The following is a 21355-nucleotide window of genomic DNA, read 5'->3' on the forward strand; positions in this document are numbered from 1 at the left end:
CCTCATCTTCCCAACATCCATCTGCTGAGCCAGACTCTGTGTTGCTGTTGGCATCTAGTCTTGAACCAAGAGTAGGCATGGAATGTTACCCACAGATGCAGTCCCTCAAGCTGGCAACACCAGATAACTCTTCCTCCCTTAATGCACTGATTCAAAAGAGCTCTTGGGAACCTCTTCCATTGGTGGGGGGAAAAACATGGGAGAATTAATCGCTTTTTTGTGTGCATGTCTCTGTTTTGCCAAGGCCTAAGCATTGGTTGCCCCCGCTGTGAGACTGACAGTCTTGTATATTCAGTTACGCAGCTCCTTCAAGCAAGCTTTCGGGAAGAAGAAGTCCCCAAAATCTGCGTCCTCTCATTCAGATATTGAGGAGATGACGGATTCTTCTTTGCCTTCCTCACCAAAGTTACCGCACAATGGGTCCACAGGTTCCACCCCACTGCTGAGGAATTCTCACTCCAACTCTCTGTAAGTCTGTCTGTCTAGTCAGATAACATCTTTGGCCCCTGAGAACCTTCTCCAGTAGGAATGGCTAGGAGTCCTGTTATGACACATCTGCTCCTTGGGATCCTTTATGCTTTGCTTTAATAGGACTGTGCATGTTCTTTCAATGCTTTAGGACTGGGAAAGTTGAAAGAGAAAAGAAACTTAGGTTTTCGTTCTGATGGTGTCAATATCCATAACTAACTGGTTGGCCTTAAGCGGGTTACTTAAATTCTCTTTGTTTCCATACCTCTATATATCAATTTGGGATAATGGTTTTTGTGTACGTATCCTAGCCCTAAGAATTGGACGAGATAAATGGATATACAGGAGCTTGCTTCCTGCAGCAGTAAGAAAGGCTGGCCCTGCTCAGTAGGGCTGAATTTCTTTTGAAACCATGGTGTTCCAGGTCTAGAATTAAAGAACTGGAGCACAGGTAGTCTGCAAGGAAAGTTGTCAGAGAGATGAGACAGTGCATGGGAGAAGAGGGAAGTCATGGCCAGGGTCAGGACAGCCACTGAGATAGGGTTAGAGAAAGAAGTTTGGTTGTATAAACTTCAGTTTCCTCACTAGTAAAAATAGGGTTCATTACATCTACTTCACTGGATTCTTGGGAAGGCCAAGTTAAATACTATGCATGAAGGGCCTTTTCCATGCTGTTCCATCTTTCTTCATTCTCAGGGGGCCAGGTCTGTGCCGCTGACCCTAAGTCCACTTAACCAGCCAGCCCACTGAAGACAGCATAAGTGTCTTAAGGCCCTGCCTTAGCAGCTTACCAGATGGGTAGAGGGAGTACAGGCAAAATCAGCCTGTCCAGAGGCCAGATCTTTGTAGTATACCAACTGCATGGGAGTGGAAGAGAGGAAACAGAGGATAGTAGGGTTATGACCTTCTTTTGGTTTTGGTTTTGGTTTTGTTTTTGAGATGGAGTCTTGCTCTGTTGCCCAGGCTGGAGTGCAGAGGCATGATCTCGGCTCACTGCAACTTCTGCTGCCCAGGTGCAAGCAATTCTCCTGTCTCAGCCTCCTGAATAGCTGGGACTACAGGCGCATGCCACCATGCCCAGCTAATTTTTGTAGTTTTAGTAGAGACGAGGTTTCACCGTATTGGTCAATCTGGTCTCGAACTCCTGACCTCAGGTGATCCACCTGCTTCAGCCTCCCAAAGTGCTTGGATTACAGGCATGAGCCACTGCACCCAACCAGGGTTATGACTTTTAAGCAACCTCACCCACTATTGAAACATGGCCCTGTCAGGGTCTCTACTTTACTGAGTTAGATGATCAATTCCTCTTTTCTTGGAGAACACCCTAGTAAGAGGTAGCCACAGGGGTGTGTACTTCCTACTGCTATGGGTGAGGGTAAAATTGAATGGGGGAAGGAAGAAGGACACTGAGGGACTGGACTTCGGTTTGGCCCTGCAGTGCCCAGCCCAGTGTCCTGTGTTATTTTGAGTGAAGAATTAGACAAATTACTGAGAGAGTGTGTCCTCCTCCATCTGCAGAGTGCCTAAGGAAAGAGTAAAGAACCAGTTGCCTGTGACTCTCACACATGCCATCATCCCAAAGCATCCCAACTCAGTTGTCTCCTGACCAGGAGAAAAAGGAACTCATCATGTCTTCTTTATTTATTGATTTAAACTTTTTGTATAGCAACCTGTGTGAGCAGAGCACTATTCCAGATGCTCTGAAGAGACCAAAAAGGGGTTAACCAAGCCAGGTGCAGTTACTGTCGCCTGTAATCCCAGCGCTTTGGGAGGCCAAGGAGGGAGGATTGCTTGAGGCCAAGAGCTGGCAACCAGCCTGGTCAATATAGTGAGACTCTGTCTCTACAAAAAAAAATTTTTTTTAATCGGTCAGGCATGGTGTTGCATACTTGTAGTCCCAGCTACTTGGGAGGCTGAGGCAGGAGGGTCACTTGAGCCCAGGAATTTGAGACTCCAGTGAGCTGTGATCACCCTGTACTCCAGCCTGGGTGACAGAGTAAGGCCATGTCTCTATTTAAAAAAAAAAAAAAAGTTAAACAGATTCTCCACCCCTGAGAAGAGTAAATACTAGTGGAGACATGACATAGTACAGTTCATTCTACTCCTGAACTTTCACTCTGAAGGCCCCATTCTCAGTTGTGGTTACGATAAAGTACAACACAAAGTTCCTACTCATGGACCCTGTATACCAAGAGAGGAGATGAATGTTAAACAAATAAATCCTGAATAAACTAGGAAAATTAGAGAGTGCTAAGGGCTAATGCTGTGAATTAAAACAGTGCTGAGATACAGAGTACCTTGGCAGCAACTTTAGATGGGGTGGTCAGAAAAGAGCCCTCTGAGTAGGTGACATTTCAGCTGAATCTGCATGCCAGGGGGAGCCACTGGGTTAGTTTCAGCGGGTAACATTAGCTGCTGTAACAAACTCAGCCCAACGCTCAGCAGCTTTACATATGACTGTTTATTTCTTGCTCACTCCAAACCCAGTGCAGATAGTCCTAGTCAGCAGGTGGCCTGCCCTCTAGTGATGTAGGCACTGAGGCTCCCGCCATCCACAGGGCCCAGTCCACTGCTCAACATTCTGTGTCCAGCCAGTGGGCGTGGGGGTTTGGAGAGTGCAGAGGAACCTGCAGGAGGGTTTTAAGGACCAGGCCTAGAAGAGGCTTATGTCGCCTCTTCCCACAGTCCACTGACCAGGACTCAAAGCCATACCACCTGCAGCAGAAGAAGTGAAGGAGGAAATGGGCTTTGGTGAACACATAGCAGCCTCTGCCACCCCAGCCTCCCAATGAGCAGGGCAGTCTTCCTGACCCAAAAAATAAATAACACAAGGAGCCTGATGTAGAAACAGGTTCGATATGTCTGAAAGAGAGAGGGATGGACAGCGTGACTTCCCACATATGCGAGTAGGCTACAGCCACAGACATAGTCAGGGCCTAGAACACGCAAGGCTTTGAAGTGAATTCGCATCCAATTTCATGTATAATGGGTGGGTGTGGTGGAGTTTGAAACAGGAATATGAGATAATCTGAATTTACAAAGATCAGTCTCTGTTCTGTGTATAAGGAATATGGGGAAGGGAGATCACCCAGGGGCTCTTAGCCACTCTGGCCCACTTGTTCTTTGAACATTCCAATCACACTCTCCACCTCAAGGCCTGTGTCCTTCCTGTGTCCTCTGCCTGGTGTGCTCTTCCCTCAGATATTTATTTCCTTAGGTCTCTGCTCAATGTGACTTAATGAATAAGGCCTTGCCCATTCACTTGCATAAACCAACATTCTACCATGAGCCAGTGCTCCCCATGGTCCCTTTGCCCCTGCTTCATTTTTCCCCATTGCACATGTTGCCCCCTGACACCTGACATAGAGGTTTTCCTTGATTATTTGTTCTCTGTCCCCCACCCCAACCCCAGATCTACAGTAGAAGCTCCATGGAGGTAAGTACTGTATTGGTTTTGCAGGCACTCAAATATTTGGTGGAATGAATGAGCCACTGATAACAGTAGTGAGTTCTGGATGTATTTAGGAGATATTCTTGAAGAAAAGTTGACAGTGTATGGTGATGGATCAGATGTGAGTGCAAGGGAAAGAGGAGAGCCATCCTGGGATATTCCTAGATTTACAACTTGAGTACCTGGGATGAGTGGGAGACACAGAGGGGGGCAGAGTGGGGAGTCGGAGCACTACTTTGGTTCCATTAAATTTGAGATGCCAGCAGACATCCATATCCAGGTCAACCAGCCTGGACTTCCTAGAGGTGTAGATTTGGGAGACACAGACTTATTGGTGGTGTCGAAAGCTGGGCAACTGGAAGAGTTCTCCAAGGGGTTGAATGAAGACGAAGATGATCAGAGGGCAAGAGGGCAAGAGGACTGAGCTCTGGTGCACTCTGATATTTGAAGTTCAGAAAGAGGGAGTTACAGCTGCCGGCCAGCAAGGTGGGAGGAAACCTGGGAGCAGAGAGGAGAAACTGTTGCTGGAGGGAGTAGGAACGGGGCCAGATGCTGCTGGGCGGCCAAGTAAGATGAGCAGAGAGAGGCGGTGATGCACTCAGCTGTGCAGGACCATGGCAGAACTATCCTCCAAGCCACTTTCCCCAGAGGAATCGGGTGGGGTTGGCTCCTGGCTCCCCAGCCCTTTTCTTACATTCCACAGCATCCATGCACACTGGAGATGTTTGTTTTTGGTCTCGTTTTCCAAAGGGTAGGCTGAGAGCAAATGCTTGTTTCCAACCTCGAAGGGTTTGTAAGAATGTGCAAATCTAGATGTGAGAGGGAGTTCAAAGACAAAACCATAGGCAGAGGAGTTGGGCTTAGGAAATTCCCCAATCCGTGGGCAAAAGGAATGGTAGTTGTGGTAAGGCAACGTTTTCCCACACTCGAGGCATTTTAAAATTAGGTATGCCACCAGCCCTGACTGTGGACAAGACAGTGGAAAAAGGCTTGAATCACAGTTAAGGGACTGAGTAGGGAAAAACACACATAAGGTGTCTTCAGTAAGCAGTTTATGAAGTGGACAAGCATGTATTGAGCGCCTAGTGGGTATAGTTCAGGAACACAGGCTCTAGAGCTGAGCAGACCTGCCAGGTTTGAATCTGCCTCTATCATTTTTACATGGTGCAGTCTTGGGCCTGCTTGTGTCCATGTCTCTGCCTCCCCATTTTAAAACTGGAGATAATTACAGTACCTCTTCATGGAGTGAGTAATGTACAAAGGAAATGGAATAATATACTTCAAATACCTAGCCCATTTGTTTAGGTATTCCATAAGCATTTGTTAGGTACCCATTATGTAAATGTGATCAGATGCCAGAAATGATGCAGAGAATAACCCTGGTCCCTGAGGAGCCAGCAGCCAAGCAGAGGTAACATGTTAAGTTGAAATGAAATTATCAGCGATACAGCATAAGTCTAGTCAGGGAAGGAACTAGGGGAGAAGGCTCTGTCTTGGGCATTAGGATTAGGGACTAAAGCTTAGTTAAGGCTGCTGCAAAAGAATGTGTTTTCTTTTTTGTTTTGAGACTGAGTTTCGCTCTTGCCTCCCAGGCTGTAGTGCAGTGGCGCGATCTTGGCTCACTGCAACCTCGACCTCTCAGGTTCAAGCGATTCTCCTGCCTCAGCCTCCTGAGTAGCCGGGATTACAAGTGCCCGCCACCAAAGCTACACCACCCAGCTAATTTGTGTATTTTTAGTAGAGACGGGGTTTCGCCGTGTTGGCCAGGCTTGTCTCGAACTCCCCACCTCAGATGATCCACCTGCCTCAGCTGGGATTACAGGCGTGAGCCGCCAACCCGGGCCAAGAATGTGTTTTCAACATCATGTCTACGTTATAGGGCATCTGTCTCATGAGGCCTCATCATTGTGTGTTTCTGAGAGCTGGCTGATTCTGGAGGAGCATAGGGAGGACAAAGTCCTCCCAACACAGACTTTCTTCATTTCAGTTTGGTACCGTTTGTAAAGTCAAGGGTTTAGGCCAAGCTCTGCAAAGTAACCCATGTGATACGTTCCACAACGTGAGTGCCAAGAAGGTATTTTCTCTCTTGCTGAGAGCTTTCTGGGAAAAGGGTGCAGATCAGGTGAAGATGACTTGAGCAAGGTGCCTTATCGTGGAGTGCTGGACAGACGAGCCTCACATGGTGTCAGCCAGAACAGACTGTTCTCTGCAGTGAATCTGAGCCTTCAAGATTCATGTAGGACATGATTTGGCTAAGAAGGGAGTATCACAGTGAAATTTTGTTCAGACTTTACACTCCATTTAAACCAAGAAACCATAGTCTTCTCAAGATAGAACCAGTTTTTGCAAGCTCCTCCTGCAAACCTCCCAAACCGAAGAAAAAAAAAAAAAGCATGGTTCTATCAGTAAACCTCACAAACCACAGGCTATTCAAAGTACAGAGAGCTGAGAAAGAAAGGATGTTGCAAATTCTAAAGACATTTCTGTCTCGCCCTTTTAGTCCTGAATCTATTGGCTTCAGTCTCTCAAAAGTGTGAGATGGAAATAATTAGATCATTTTCAGGAGTTCTTTGGGTTTTTCAATAAGATTTTGAAGCTAAGAATCTTCCTTGGTGACTGGTAACTTTTAAAAACATAAGGTGGTTTTACCGTGTCTCTCAAATCAAAAAAGTTCAGGTTCAGGTCAAGAAAAGAGCAACAGAAACATTTGGCTATTCAAGTGTTAAATTTTTCTTCCAGTTCTTTCTGCCCCCGAAATACAATTTCATCTCTTTTAACAATTTTATAAATCATTTTCCTTTGGGAATTAAAATTTCCACACCCTCACCCAGTTTTACAGGTCAGGTTTTGTTTGGCCCCAAACCCATAGCTTGGGTCTTGGAGAGCCAGACTCATGTGATCATTTATTTCTGCAGAGACCACATGCTCATCATCTCCTTTAGACATAATCAGCTTCAGCTTTGTAACTTTATGAACTTGAGAGTGGGGGTGTTTGGGGTTGTTTTTCTGTCTTCAGTCCAAGAAATGTCAAAGCTTTCTATTCTGGATCACCCAGTAACCCAGATGCTAAGATCGTCGAAACTCACAGAACTATTTTTTTTAAGAGAACTATCTTTCCTAACATTGCAATTCATCACGACTTGTATGATCTTCTACTTTGTGCTGATTTGCCAGGTGTTTGAAGAGCAAACCTAAGTAACTAAGGAGCCTAAGCTAGAAGAACCACCTCTTCAGAAAGAGGAACTCAACAGGGTCCCATGGTGACCTTGACCTGGTGTGCAGCAGGGAAAAGAAGATAATTAGCCAGGCTGTTGCAGAGTTTTCAGATACAACTTTGGCTTGCCTGTCACACCATCCCGTCTGTTCTCTAACTCCCTGAAGAGGTTTCCCTTCTTGCCCTGAGTGTGTTAAGCAGTGTGGGGGCTGAGAGAACTAAAGAAGGTTGATCTGTCTAGACACTTTTAGGGGAGTGAGTTTTCAGAATGTGATCAGGAACAGATTAACACCTTCCACGCATATCTTTAGGTTTCATCCCCATTTTGGCAAATAAAAATCACCCCTCAGTTGTTTAATAAAGAAGTTTCTAATCTTTAAAACTGTAAGCTGACCCTGCTTCTCTGAGTCGGTTTGGAACTCAAGGGCGTGTGGTGTCATGGAAGCCCAGCTGTGTACACATGGTGGGGGAGGGGGTTATCAAACTGGAAGGTTACTACTCCCTTTTGCCAGCTCCTGCTTATCCTTATATTCCTGGAATTTTGCTGAAAGGCACACCAAAGCCATTCTGATTGCCAGAGCTCAGCAAAGAAAGAATGTAGAGAATGAAATCTTGTCTCTAAAAATAAAAATAAAAATAAAATTTAAAAAGTGAAACCACAAAAAGCAGGAAAAGAGTGAAAGACAAAAGTAGGAACTCAGGAAAAGAGTGAAAGACAAAAATAGGAACAAAGAAAAAGGACAACAAATAGAAAAGTAACAATACAGTAAATAATAATCTAACTATATTAACGATTTTAAACATCAGTGGTCTAAATAAACCAATTTAAAGAAGAAAAAAAGAATACAGAGAAGGAATAAAATCTGTTTTCAGGTGCTTTTGGCATTGTCACCCACAGGAAGCACCAGGCAGCTGGTTATTCACAGTTACTGCTAAACAAACCTGATGATTGATGTGGACCAGTGTTCAGTAGGGGACTAAAAGGAGCTGCTTTCATCAGTAACATTCCTCTTTCCCTAGAATTTCAGAATGCATGGATAGTGAAGCTGAGACCGTCATGCAGCTCCGAAATGAGTTAAGAGACAAGGAGATGAAGCTGACGGATATCCGCTTAGAAGCTCTCAGTTCTGCCCACCAGCTGGACCAGCTCCGGGAGGCCATGAACAGGATGCAGGTGAGAGCCCAGGAGCATGGGCTGAGCTCAAGGCTGTCTATGAAGGAGCTCCCAGAGGCTGCTCTCCACTAAGCCCTGAGGGCTGCATCAGAATCTGGTGGCGGCCCTCGCTTTCCCAGCCTTTATCTCTTTTCAGTCCCTCCCACACATTGCTCAAAGACCCAGTCTTTTGGAAGAATAAGAGTACCCATGCTCTTCCTTTACGTAATACTTTTGGTGACTCCCCTGGTGCCTGTGGCATGTGGTACAGTCTCCTTCAGCTGGCCTTCAAGGCCTTCTGCAGGGTCGTTTCCACTGTTAATCCACACCACCCTCCCCAGCTCCTCTTCCCAGAATCTACTCGCCAGCCAGATGGAGTCGCTGACTGCCCCCTTTGCATCCTTGGAAATTCCTCTTTCATATTGTTCCCTCCACTGGGTATATTCCTCTGCACATCCAAGTTAGACCCTTCCCTTAATGCTCGGCCTGATTCCTTTCCAAGTCTTGCAGCTGGAGAGTTAGTACCCTTATCTGAGTATTCCTGTAGATTTGTTCTTACAGCCCCTCCCACCTTCTGCCATGGAGTGAAGACATTTGGGTCTTCTGGGCTTTTTGCATACCTTTCTGTGGACATAGCACCAATGCCTTGCACATTGTAGGTTCTTCATGAATATTCGTAGAATGAAAGATACCTCTAGAGTCTGCTGGGATCTTAATGGAGTCAGTGTTTCACAAAGGAGGTTCCCTGAAACACTCTTTCCATGAGAAGCTCTATGAAAGGAGAATACCTTGATCAAATATGTTTGGAAAATGCTGCACACCATGTGCCTCTGTTCAATTCATGGCGTAGAGGAGCTCATTAAAGATTCTGAGAAGTCCTGCAGGAAAGAAGCCTGTAAAAGCCAGAGTTGCACAAACCTCTTAGATCATAAGACTCTTTTTCACTTAACCCTCAAGCAGCAGACTCTGGGAAGCATTTCAGAGGTCTTTTCAAAGGCCTGTTCTCTGAATGGATGGACCTCCCATGGCAGCATGTCTTATGTCTACCGCAGGGTTAGCAAACACTGCTAAATCTCTCTGAGGGTGTTGTTCGCCTTGGGTGGAAGACCAGCCTGGTTTCTGCAGGGAACTTTCAGATCCTTCCTTCAGAAAAATCTTGTTCACATTACTTCTGCCTACTAAGGGAGCTTCTCCATTACTCTTTGCAGAGTGAAATAGAGAAGCTGAAAGCTGAGAATGATCGGCTGAAGTCAGAGTCTCAAGGCAGTGGCTGCAGCCGGGCTCCTTCCCAAGTGTCCATCTCTGCCTCCCCGAGGCAGTCCATGGGCCTCTCCCAGCACAGCTTGAACCTCACTGAGTCAACCAGCCTGGGTGAGTGGCCTACAGGGTTTGGGGGCAGGAATGGACCTACAGCTGGCACCCTGATCTCTAAGCGAGAACCCCAAAATAAGCAGATCAACAGATCAAATGGAGAGGCAACAGGCGTGTGTGCACTTGGGGTGTGTATGTGTCTGGGTGTGAGTCTGCTACCAACATGAGCCCAGCCGTTAGACTGCTCTCATGCTTTGCTCCAGCACCCCAAATTCTCCAAGCCCTGAGCTTGGATCCCCTCGCCCACCATGCTGAGTTTGTTTGATCCATTTTAAGAGGCTGACCTGCAAGCTGAATGCTGTACACAAACCCCATAGTAGCAGGTCTCAGTTGAGGCAGTGGCTTGGTCTATGATCTTCCTGCCTTCAGGATGGATTCCAGGCTGGTGCAACCATCAGTGAACACAATCTAGGTTTTCTTTGTAAGCGTATTAAGGCTGATGCTTTTATTTTTTATCCATGATGCTGCTGCTGTTGTTGTTTTGGTTGAGTCTCTCCCTCGCACTTCCATCCGGCAAGGTGCATTGTCAGCCTACTGGTTCTTTGGTTGGTCCACCATTGGTTTCTGTGATTGCATTCTCCATTTTGCCCTCTCCTCTTCCCCTACCCCCCCACCCCCTGCACCCTGACACCTGTTTGTCCCGCTGCTGTGCCAACCTGCAGCGGGGGTGTCAGGAAGCTGGCTTTGCTGTCCCCATGTGCCTAAGGCTGTTGATGTTTTCCATTCGCAGACATGTTGCTGGATGACACTGGTGAATGCTCGGCTCGGAAGGAAGGAGGCAGGCATGTTAAGATAGTTGTCAGCTTTCAGGAGGAAATGAAGTGGAAGGAGGTTAGTTGGATCCCTTTCCCTGCTTTGCCTGTCCCTCCCCCAGGTAGAACTACCTAGCTTAGTGATCTAATTGTAAAACCTCTATCACCTTGGAGCCTAAGGTGATTTGGAAATACTACTAACCCTTCTCTTAACTAACCATAATCCCTTGCAGCATTCTGACACAAGTAAAGTGTGCGAACGGCATTTCCCTTTCTCGTGTGCTTGAAAGTCTAATAAAGAATACTAAAAATGGTCCCACGTTTCACTTTCATGTAATTAACTAAACACTAACATCCATTGGAAAGGGCCTTTCTGAATGTAATATACTCCCAAAGCACTTCAGAGGCAGCTATGCACATTCAGCATGTAAGGTACAGAAATAAACTGACCACATGCAGCCGACCAAGAGCACCAGTTTTATCGGTCATCAGTCACCAAGAGTACACATCTTGGTAGACATCAAGGGATGGAGATGCCAAGCCCTGGGAGCATGCAGGTGGCTGAAAATAGAGCTAGTGGGGCGTCCTGACTCCCCAAGGCTGGGGAATCCGAGTTTTCCTAGTACGGTTTCTGTTCACTTCCAAAGTCTAGGAACTTCCAGAGTCTATACCACTGCCAGAGACTATTTTGGGATGGGGGCTAGAGCTGATATTGAAAGTTGAATTTTAGCCAGTGATTAAAACCCAGTGATGCTTTGAATGACTGTTTCTCGAATAAATGTAAAAAGGCCTCATGAGTCACCATTTCAAGTTCCCTTGAGTTTTTTGTTTGTTATTTCTTAGTATTTCTAGCCAACATGCTATTGTAGTTTCAGACAGCTAGGGAACCCACAGAACAAAGCGTCTGCAGCCAGACCTTTCTTAGGGGATTCAGCTTTGCGGCTGGCTTGCTAGCCTCACTATAGGGGGTAAGCTCAGCATTTTGGCACTTCCATTAGCGTCATCTAGCCATGAAATATATAGTAGATAGCTCCGTTTTCAAAACATAGCTAGTAAAGTGATGGACTGTTAGGGGAAACTCGTTCTTTTTTCTTTTCTTTATCTTTTTTTTTTTTTTTTTTTTTTTGGAGGCAGAGTCTCACTCTGTTGCCCAGGCTGGAGTGCAGTGGTGCGATCTTGGCTCACTGCAACCTCTGCCTCCCAGGTTCAAGCGATTCTTCTGCCTCAGCCTTCCAAGTAGCTGGGACTATAGGTACCTGCCACCATGCCCGGCTAATTTTTGTATTTTTAGTAGAGATGGGGTTTCACCATATTGGCCAGGCTGGTCTCAAACTCCCGACCTTGTGATCCACCTGCCTCGGCCTCCCAAAGTGTTGGGATTATAGGCGTGAACCACCACAGCCGGCTGGGAAACTCATTCTTACAGTAAATGCAGGTTACACCTTGTGGATTATTTATTCTAGTGATTGTCAATATGAACACATAGAGCATACCTTTTACAAAAGTTTACAAGTCACCTTCAAAAGTTATATTATTCTGCATCACTACAGCATCCAGGTGAGGTTGGTTGACCAGGGATTATTATCCTCATTATACAATTGAGAAACCCGAGACCCCAAACATTACTTATTTGAAGCCAGGGGCAAGTGGTGGGGTCAGATCATGTCACTGCAAGACTGCTGCTCTTTTCTCTGCTGATTTTGCTTAGCCGCCATATGACACCTCCCCCACCTCCACCCAACCACGCTCCTGACTCTGATCCTTATGAGCATGTAAAAACCCAATATTATGGCATGTTCTATCAGCTTTTCTTTTATCACTGTGATCTGGTTAGCTGCCACTACGCAAAGCCCTGTGAACAGAGATGCAAAAGAGTTAGAAAAAGATGTTTTGAGAGTATTCTTCCCAGAGTTTTACTAGTTTTCTGAGTTGCACATGTTTTAAGTTTTAACAAGAATAAAAACAATAAATGTTATTTAAAAACAAGATAGAAGAAAAAATAGAAACACATTTTGTCCTGACAATGTTTAAGATCTAGTAAGGAGGTAAACTTGATATGCAAAAATATGACAGAAATACCTAAAACTAAATATAAATTAGTACAGAATATATCATTATATAAGTTACGTACAGAATTGCCGAAGCAATTTAAGCTCTGAGCCTGATGGGGTTAATCACTGAAGGCTTCCTGGAAGAGGTGAGTTTATAAGCAAGGTTTGAAAAGAGAGAGATGCTAGACAGATGTGGAGAGAGTTCCATACAAGGAATATGTGATTTATGCCCTGTCTGACACATTTACTTAGCAAAAGTTTCCATATTCCAGAGAGGAAATCCTCTTTTCCTGACTCTTGGACCGCTGTTTTAGCAGTAAAGCAGGGAAAGGTATTAAGACTATTACTTCCACCTAAGTTATACCTGGTTTTAATACAAATAGGACTTTTATTCCCCTCTCAAACCATTGGCGGAGTTCTAAGGCAACCTGAGTCCTCTGCTGAACTGAGTCAGAAAAGATCCACCTGTTTTTCACCTGTGTACATTTCCTTACCCTTAGGATTCCAGACCACATCTCTTTCTTATTGGCTGCATTGGAGTTAGTGGCAAGACGAAGTGGGATGTGCTCGATGGGGTGGTTAGACGGCTGTTCAAAGTAAGTGTTTCAAGACAACGGCTACAGCATACTACCTAACATGGGCATCCGGGCCTGGGGAGGAAAAGAGAGGTTGATGTCCTGAGCTTGGCCATTTCTCAGACCTGTCCCCTTCCCTACATGTTAATGTTGCTGGAACTTGTTCCCTGGCTCTCAAGGGAATGGAAGGACAATGGTAAGTACAGACTGGTCATCGGCCAAATTCTTGCCGTCTGCCCTTTGCAGTGGTGGGCCAGCTAGTGAGTGTGATCTGAGCAACTCTTTGATCCTCTCACAGTGAACTGCTAATGTCCAACTCTCTTTTCACCTTAGAATTGTGTCTTAGGACATATGCTTCGGAGTATGTAATCTGTGGCCAGGGCTTAGACACCAGATTTCTAGCCTTCATTTTGGGGGATTTGATCTGATTTTCCCGGTATCCTGTGCCAACACTTCAGAGTCTTTGATTTGTTTTACGAGTGACATTAATGTCTGATCGATGGCCAGGCTCAAGGATGTTGCCATACTTATTTCTCTATTCTTTTTAATCACATCATTAGATTGGGTGTTTGCCATGGGATAAATAACTAATGAGTACCAGGGTGAACCTTGAAACACATGGTGATTTGAAGGAAGCTTTTGGTACATTTTTTCTATTGTCCTGAAGTAAGTCAACAACTATAAGGGCTCATTAATCATATTCCCTGAGTAGTAATAATAGTCCACGTTTTTTGTGCCAGACACTATGCCAAGCCCCTTATATTATCCCATTTAAAGGTGAAGAAAGTGAGGGTCAGGTTGGGCACTTTTTCAAGGTCATGGATCTAGAATTAGACCCCGTTGGTCCAGTTTAGTTGGTCTGACTTCAAAACCTAACTTAACTATTATGTTGGTTCAAAAGTAATTGCACCACCATAATTACTTTTGCAACAACCTAATAGTACACTATAGTTTCTTTCTAACAGCTAGATCCAGGTAGCCTCATACAGAGAAAATTCTGTTTTTTGACTGGAGATTGGTCCCCATCCTGGTAAGCCAGCCTATAGAAATGAGACCAGAGAAGACATATGAATGGCTTAGATGGACCGATTCTCCGACCTAGGCCAAAAACTTATCTCTGGTGATGGACAGTTGGGACATCCTTGGATTAGAATAACAGTTTGGGCTGAAAAGAGACACATTGGCATCATAGTAAGTGAGGAAATGAGACCATGCAAAGCCTGTTACTGGGATTCCACCTAAGTCATCGTGCAGTCACCTCCTAGTACATGGACCTTAGTTCTACATTTACTAACCTAAAACCTTTTGTTCACTCAACTAAGAGGGAACACTTTCCAAATTAAACACACGTTTTCCTTCTCAAAGATCTAGAGCTGATTTTTTCTAGCAGTCTGCATTTTAATCTCTTTGTATGATCTTTGAGCCAAAAGAAGGGGATGGAAGAGAGATTTCCTGTCAAAATTACTTTTTCGTGAATTTTCCAGCACCATTCACAGGCCCTGATGTCTTCAAGACTTCAGCCGAACTTAGGAAAAGCAGCCTAGCTTTTCCGTGCTTGGTTCATCCAGACTAAACGTTCACAACCTTGTTAGGGGTTTGTTTTTTTTCTTCCACTGCTAACCAAATAAATCTGTATTTTAAGAGGCCTGTGGTACTCGGGCTTTATCCCCTTAGAAAGTCAGTTTTTCTCCCCCTCATCCCACAGCTCAATTTCAACTCAGACATCTGAGAAAGAAGAGAATATGATCATAAATCACCCAGGGAAAACATGAGTCATGGGCAGATTTTAGCCACATCTTTGATGGGGTCTTTATTTTTTATTTTTTCCAGGAATACATCATTCATGTCGACCCAGTGAGTCAGCTAGGGCTGAATTCAGACAGCGTTCTTGGCTACAGCATTGGAGAAATCAAGCGCAGCAACACTTCCGAAACACCGGAGCTGCTTCCTTGTGGCTATCTGGTTGGAGAGAACACGACCATCTCAGTGACTGTGAAAGGTAATTGAGCTTGTTGCAGAAGTCGGAGCTTTCAGGAATTGCAGTGTTTGTTTTGTGACTTGGCATAGGCACTTGTGGCCCCAGTTTTGTTTGTGCATGTATTTGTGGGCTGCTTGTCTCCCTTCTACCACAGTTACTCTATGCAAGTTGAACCGTCTTTTGCTTTTTCAACCACCTTAGGAAACAAAATCATTTTAGTTTATTGCTGCAATTATCTAACAAAAGATCCCATTAGCCTTATGACTCTGAGATGATGGAATCTTAATAACCCTGTTGAAATAGGGCTTTACTAATACTGATGAATTACTCTTGCCAGCAAGCTTTGGATGCAGTCCCGTTCTACAGATGGGAAAACCACGACTTGCAATAGGCTGTAGGAGTCACTCTGAGCATCCTGATGAAACTGCTGAAGCTTGTGCCCACGCATGATGCTGCTAGAGCTTCCAGTTTCTCATTACCTAGTGATATTAAGCCCCAGGCCAGTGGATTCCTTAGAACTCCAGGCCCACAAAGTTCACTGAGGAAAAAAAAAGCTTCACTGCCATGCAATTCTGGGAAACTACATCGTTATCCCCATTTGTGTTTAGGGGACAGGAGTGCACTGGTACATCAAAGGCTCTGTCATTCAGTGTCCTAACTCCTGCTGTTAAAAAGGCTGTTTAATCCAGTCTGTCCCAAATGTATTTGATTGTAAAACCCTATCATTTCCTATATGTTATGGACCACTTGAATATAGACTTTCATAAATACTGTACTAGGCTCATTCTTTTGTGTTGTCTCATTTCTTACTTCCCTGAAAGGCACTGCTCTTGACTGCAGTTTTGCAGTTGTTTGATGCAAGGTGTATTTCCTGGTTGGTAGAATTTCCACAAGCACCCCACCATTTTCCATCAGCAGGAATTAAGATCTTGCTCTGCAGGTGGCAAGTGGTACATATTGCTTGAGCCTCACACAGCCTCCTCCTGCTAGCAAGTGAAATTCCACAATTGTGCCTTTGGACTAAAAGTGACAGAAACAGACTCAAAAGTAGCTGTAACAAAAAAGGAAATGTATGGGCTCATGGCCTTGGGCAATCCAGGGGTACACCTCAAGCACAGCTGGATCCAGGTGGTCAGACAGTGAATCAGGACCAGGCCTGCCTCAGCTTTGCCCATCGGCTGTGCTTATTTATTGAGCTCTTTGTACCTGGTTGATGAAATGGCCCCTGGTAGCCCAATTCCTTCTTCTAGCTTAGGAACCTGAAGGAAAGAGGGGTTTTTGGGAAAATGTAACAGATAATTCCTAGGGATGACTCTGGCCCACTATAGGTCAAATGCCCATCACTGAATTGGTCATTATGACCAGGGAGAGGATTTGTCCGAGCCTGGGCACCAGCCCATCCATTTGGGTTGGTGGAAGAGCTGGACCAGTGGAGGAGAATTGGTGGAGTTGCTGGATTGGTTCCACTTGAACCACCAGGAATGAGCTCCCCATGGGAAAGAAGAGTTCTACCATGAGGGGAAGCAGGAAGGAGTATCAGACCCACTGGAACAATCATCCTCGACAAGAACCCTTTAAGGAGAGCCTTTTATGTCCTGAGTTCAAATTGCATTTCATCCCTCCTGCCAAGCATGCGTTGTTCACTTGCTGGTTTTACCTGTGAGCATTACAAAGGACTGAGGAGTAAAAGGAATGGCCTATTGCTGAGACCAGGCCAAGCCTCTCTAGAAAGTAACAAGATTACCTGCCTCTAGTGGAGCGTGCCACCCCTCTGCAGACCCTGATCCATCGCTGCTGTCAGCACGTCAAGTTTTAGCACCTCAAGGGATCAGCTCAGGTTTATTTTTCAGTGACACCTGACTCTTCTCTTTCCTAGAGTACTTAAAACTTATGCCTTCAAGACACTAAAAACCACTCAAGGATTTGAGCTGAAAGAGTTGCCTGAGCTGCAGTGATTCACTTCAGTGGTACCAGGGGAAGGGGGTTTGACTTTGCATTTCCTCAAGTGAGCTCTTGTGCAAAATAGTCACTTCCTGTGGGGTTTATGGCAGAAGACCGAAACAGAGCAGTACATATATATACAGAGAGGGTGTTCTAGTGGTTTTTTCCTGTGTTTATTATTATTATTAAATTTAGAGACCCTACACTCCATACTTTGCATTGAGGTTTGAGCAAGTGTACACTACATCAAGCTCAGTAGCAGGAAAATCTTAGGCTTGTCCCTAGCAGATAAGACATCTGGGGGCCTTTGTCATGTTCATTCTGGAAGAGTCATTGTACACTTAGATATAGATGCATTGGGGGGATCTGCTAGCAGTGACTGAGTACGTAGAAGGAATATGCTATTATAAAACAGTACATACTCTTCAGTTTACTTTTTATTAATTTTGCTGGTTTCTTGAGAGTACCTTTTAACAATGACCTGAGGTTCTGGACAGCTAACCTTGGATGGATCTTCTCTTAGAGACAGTATCCAAAAGATACCCCTTTTGAAGCCAACAACCCTGATTAATGACATTGTCCCAGATAGGAAAGGAGAAGGATAAGTTTCCACTTGATGTTGTTGAGGACCAAGAGTCCCAGCTAACAACATTTCAGGCTAGGTCTGCCAGTATTCACATTCCGGAATCAAATGATCCCGCCTTGCATTTTTCCTCCTTTTAAAGATAAAAGTGGTGTTGCCTTCATGGCACATCTTAGTGTGGATAGCAGTGGTACCTGGTATGTGGGAGGGAGCAGGGTGAAGAGGCAACCTCAGGGTTGTGACAGACAGGACTCAGGTTTGGTTTGGGCAGATGCCATAGGTATAGTATACTAGAGGGGTGTGTGTGTGTGTGTGTGTGTGTGTGTGTGTGTGTGTGTGTGTGTAGTAAGTATAGTAAATCCAGACAGGCAAATAGAGCCCAGAGCCTCATGAATTCTGCAGAGGACAGATAGGGACTGAGAGCCAAAATGTTCAAGGTGAGTTTGAATCTGGGAAGTTAGCCAAGACAGGAGACAGAAGCACATGGCGTTGATGAACAGGGAGGTGACTTCCTAGAGCAGCAGCACTTTGCTCTCAGCCTCCAGTGTTCCTGGGTGTGCAGGAGTCTCAGGTGAGTGGACTGCCGAGGAGAGGAATCACCTCAGGTCTTGGCAGTCCCAGTTAGGCAAGCACAGAGAGCTGCCTTTTCTACAGGGCTTCAGATGATTCCTGTCTCTCTCAAATGCAGGGCTCGCAGAAAACAGCCTGGACTCACTGGTGTTTGAGTCCTTGATTCCCAAGCCCATCCTGCAGCGCTACGTCTCCCTCCTGATAGAGCACCGTCGGATCATTCTCTCTGGCCCCAGCGGCACTGGGAAAACCTACCTGGCCAACCGGCTGTCTGAGTATATAGTGCTTCGAGAGGGACGGGAGTTGACAGACGGGGTTATCGCCACCTTTAACGTGGACCATAAGTCCAGCAAGGTGAGGAGGTCATTCTGAGTCTGCTGTATTTTTTGGCCCTTTCAAAACTGATGATATCACCACTAGCCTGAAGGGAAAGCAGCATTTCCTATCAACAATCCTTGGGTGGTTTTAGAAAGCCAAGTGAAAGAGGTCCAGAGGGGGCTAGCAGAAAAGAAGTTCCATCTGTGGTTAAGCTGATCGAGCTCATTTATGATGCTCAGTGCTGGTAGTTCTTTAATGTTATCCACGATACATCTGTTGCAATTTACCAAGAATTTATCATGTGCGTACTGGGTGTTACTGATTTTCCAAAGTAAAATATTTTGTGGAACAACGATAATAACACCAATAACAAAAATAACAATAATAAAAATAATAGAAGCCCACATTTATAGACTGTTTGCCCCATCACCAGCAAACACCTTCTCACAGCAATACCTTCACGGGAGTAGTTGTCACCATCCCCATTTTACAGAGAAGGAAACAGAGGCTTGAAGCAGATTGGTCCTGCACCTAAGACCACTCAGATGGTACTAAGTGGTAGAACTGAAGCTCAAGTCAAAGTCTTGGACTCTAGAGCCCTGTGGCCAGCAAATAGATTGGCTCCTGCTTCACGGTGAGCAACGGAAACCTGTTTGAATGGAGCCTGACCTGGTCCCAGCCGAGAGTTGGAAAGTGCTTTCTCAGACCTGTTCATGCATGCATTAGTGAGCATTGATGGATAATTCACTCTAGCTGGCCCTATGCAAAGGGGCCAGAGAATCAAAGGTGGATTGGAAATGACTCCTTCGCCTTAAGGATCACCTAGTGTGCTTGAAGATACAGGTTCCTAGACCTCACTTCTTGATGACCTATTTCACTAGGTTGTTTGAGGCTGGGTATCTGCACCATCTACAAGTTCCCCAAGTAACTTGATGTAGGTGCAGGACAAGAGAGAAGTACCCAGAGCTCTTCTGTTGAGAGCCTTTGTGTGAGTTAGGGAACTTCTCCTGGGACCAGTAAGTGAAGGCTCCGCAGGCATGGGGAGCCACATGCCTGGGGCCCAGAGATCACGGTGAAGAGGGACTAAGAGAACTAGCCACTTTAAAAGGTGGGCTTTTTCTACTGCTAACAAGACATATTTTGACTTAAAATGGAGGCCCAGGGTGGGTGGGTGCTGGTAGGAGATGGAGAAGATGTTACCCCCTGAGCAAGCAGGCTAGCATCTAAGACAGGCCAGTGTGGTGAAGACACAGACTGGGGCAGGCACCCAGGTCTGACCCATGCCCGCTGCTTACCCGCTGTGCACTCTCAGGCCAGGCACCTTATCATACCATGCCTCAGCTTCTCCTTCTGTAAAATGGACGTAATCATAGTACTCACCTTCTAGGTTATTGTGGGACTACAGAAGTTCCTGTGTGTAAGGCCCTTAAAGCCCTGCCTGGCTCTAAGTGATGCCAGCTATCATTATGACAGTAATGGCAGGCAGCCATCCTAGGTTCTCTGCCAGCTCCTTATCTTGCCGTTTCAGCCTTTTCCACTGATGCACCATTATTCTTCCTCTTCCATTTTTGACATGCATCCCTTACCCCAGGCATGCAGGGCTGTGTTCTAGTCCCTGTTGAGCCAATGCCCCACCCGTTCTCCAAGGTTAAATACAAAGCTTGCCCTTTCAGCAGGACTTCCCCAAGCCCGGTGCATATAGACTTGTCTCCCCAATGCTGTGTGTTGTGTCTGCCACAGCACTACTCAGCATGACTTAAGTGTGTGTCTGGCTCCTCTGCTGCTCTGATGTGTAGAGGGCTTCTGTGTATGTAGCTCTCAGGCTACACACATAAAGAGCACAGTGCTGTGCTTTTACCCCAGGCTCAAGGTTTCCACTCATCAGGTGAATACTGGAAGTCAGGACCCAGTCCTAACTCATCCCATGCCCACTCTGCATCCCCTGAGGACCAAGCCAGTGCCCTGTAATAGGCAGGCACCCAGAATGTGTTTACAGCGCAGAATCATGAAGGGCCTTTCTGCCTCCACTGGCCTGGGTGAGGCAAAGGCCCTGAGCGGTGTGTCTTCACTGAGTGCATTCACCCACTTGTTCTCCTTCGGCCTTCCTGGCCACCATAGGAATTGCGCCAGTACCTGTCCAACCTTGCTGACCAGTGCAACAGTGAGAACAATGCTGTGGACATGCCCCTCGTCATCATCCTGGACAACCTACACCACGTGAGCTCTCTGGGAGAGATCTTCAATGGGCTGCTCAACTGCAAGTACCACAAATGGTAAAGGCTGGTTCTGGACCTCATAGCCCCCCGGGAGAGAGTGCTGCCAGCTGATGGGGCACTGTGCACACAGGTGGCCCGGGGCCGTTGTGGGAGTGAAGCTGTGCACACGCATAGGGTTGGGAGTGGGAGGCAGCCAGCTGTCCACTGGCCTGGAAGCACAGGGCCATGGGCCTCTGTGACCACCTTGTTCTCTAGCTTGGCTTGGAATCACAGCTTTCTTTTCCTTTATTTTATCCGCAGCCCTTACATAATTGGCACAATGAACCAGGCTACCTCTTCGACTCCCAACCTGCAGCTTCACCATAACTTCAGGTCAGTTTTCCCTTCCCTTGTCCAGTTAAACAATGGAATCACAAAGAAGAAAAGCAAGAAGGGGCGGGTAGAGATGCCTGTGTTGAGTATGTGTTGTATGCTAGGTATTGTTAAGCATTTTTCTCAGCTTAATCCATTTAATTTTAACTTCAGCCTCAAGTAATTACATTCACCACTCTCAGTTTACCAATGGGGAAACTAAGGCCCAGAGACTTAAGTGACTTGGGTGAGGTCACACACTGGTCAGTGGCAGAGTGGAACTTGCAATCAAGTCTCTGCCTCTGAGTCTTGCTGTCATAGGGTCAAGGGGGCAGCTCTGGAAGGGACTGCAGGTGACCCTGC

General features: G+C 45.9%; 1 protein-coding gene across 50 annotated transcripts in view; it reads left to right on the forward strand.

Annotated features, from left to right (window-relative positions):
- Positions 1–21355, forward strand: part of NAV2 (neuron navigator 2) — a 776366-nt gene that overhangs the window by 737476 nt on the left and 17535 nt on the right. For all 50 annotated transcript variants that reach the window (XM_017018520.3, XM_047427824.1, XM_017018522.2 and 47 more), the window contains 9 exons: positions 296–468; positions 8154–8307; positions 9495–9657; positions 10388–10488; positions 12961–13056; positions 14866–15034; positions 18226–18461; positions 20544–20698; positions 20942–21013. In XM_017018520.3, coding sequence (XP_016874009.1) covers positions 296–468; positions 8154–8307; positions 9495–9657; positions 10388–10488; positions 12961–13056; positions 14866–15034; positions 18226–18461; positions 20544–20698; positions 20942–21013 — 1319 coding nt within the window. The remainder of the gene's footprint in view (positions 1–295; positions 469–8153; positions 8308–9494; positions 9658–10387; positions 10489–12960; positions 13057–14865; positions 15035–18225; positions 18462–20543; positions 20699–20941; positions 21014–21355) is intronic.

Source organism: Homo sapiens, chromosome 11 (genome assembly GCF_000001405.40).
Source record: "Homo sapiens chromosome 11, GRCh38.p14 Primary Assembly".
In the NCBI taxonomy this organism is placed as follows: domain Eukaryota; kingdom Metazoa; phylum Chordata; class Mammalia; order Primates; family Hominidae; genus Homo; species Homo sapiens.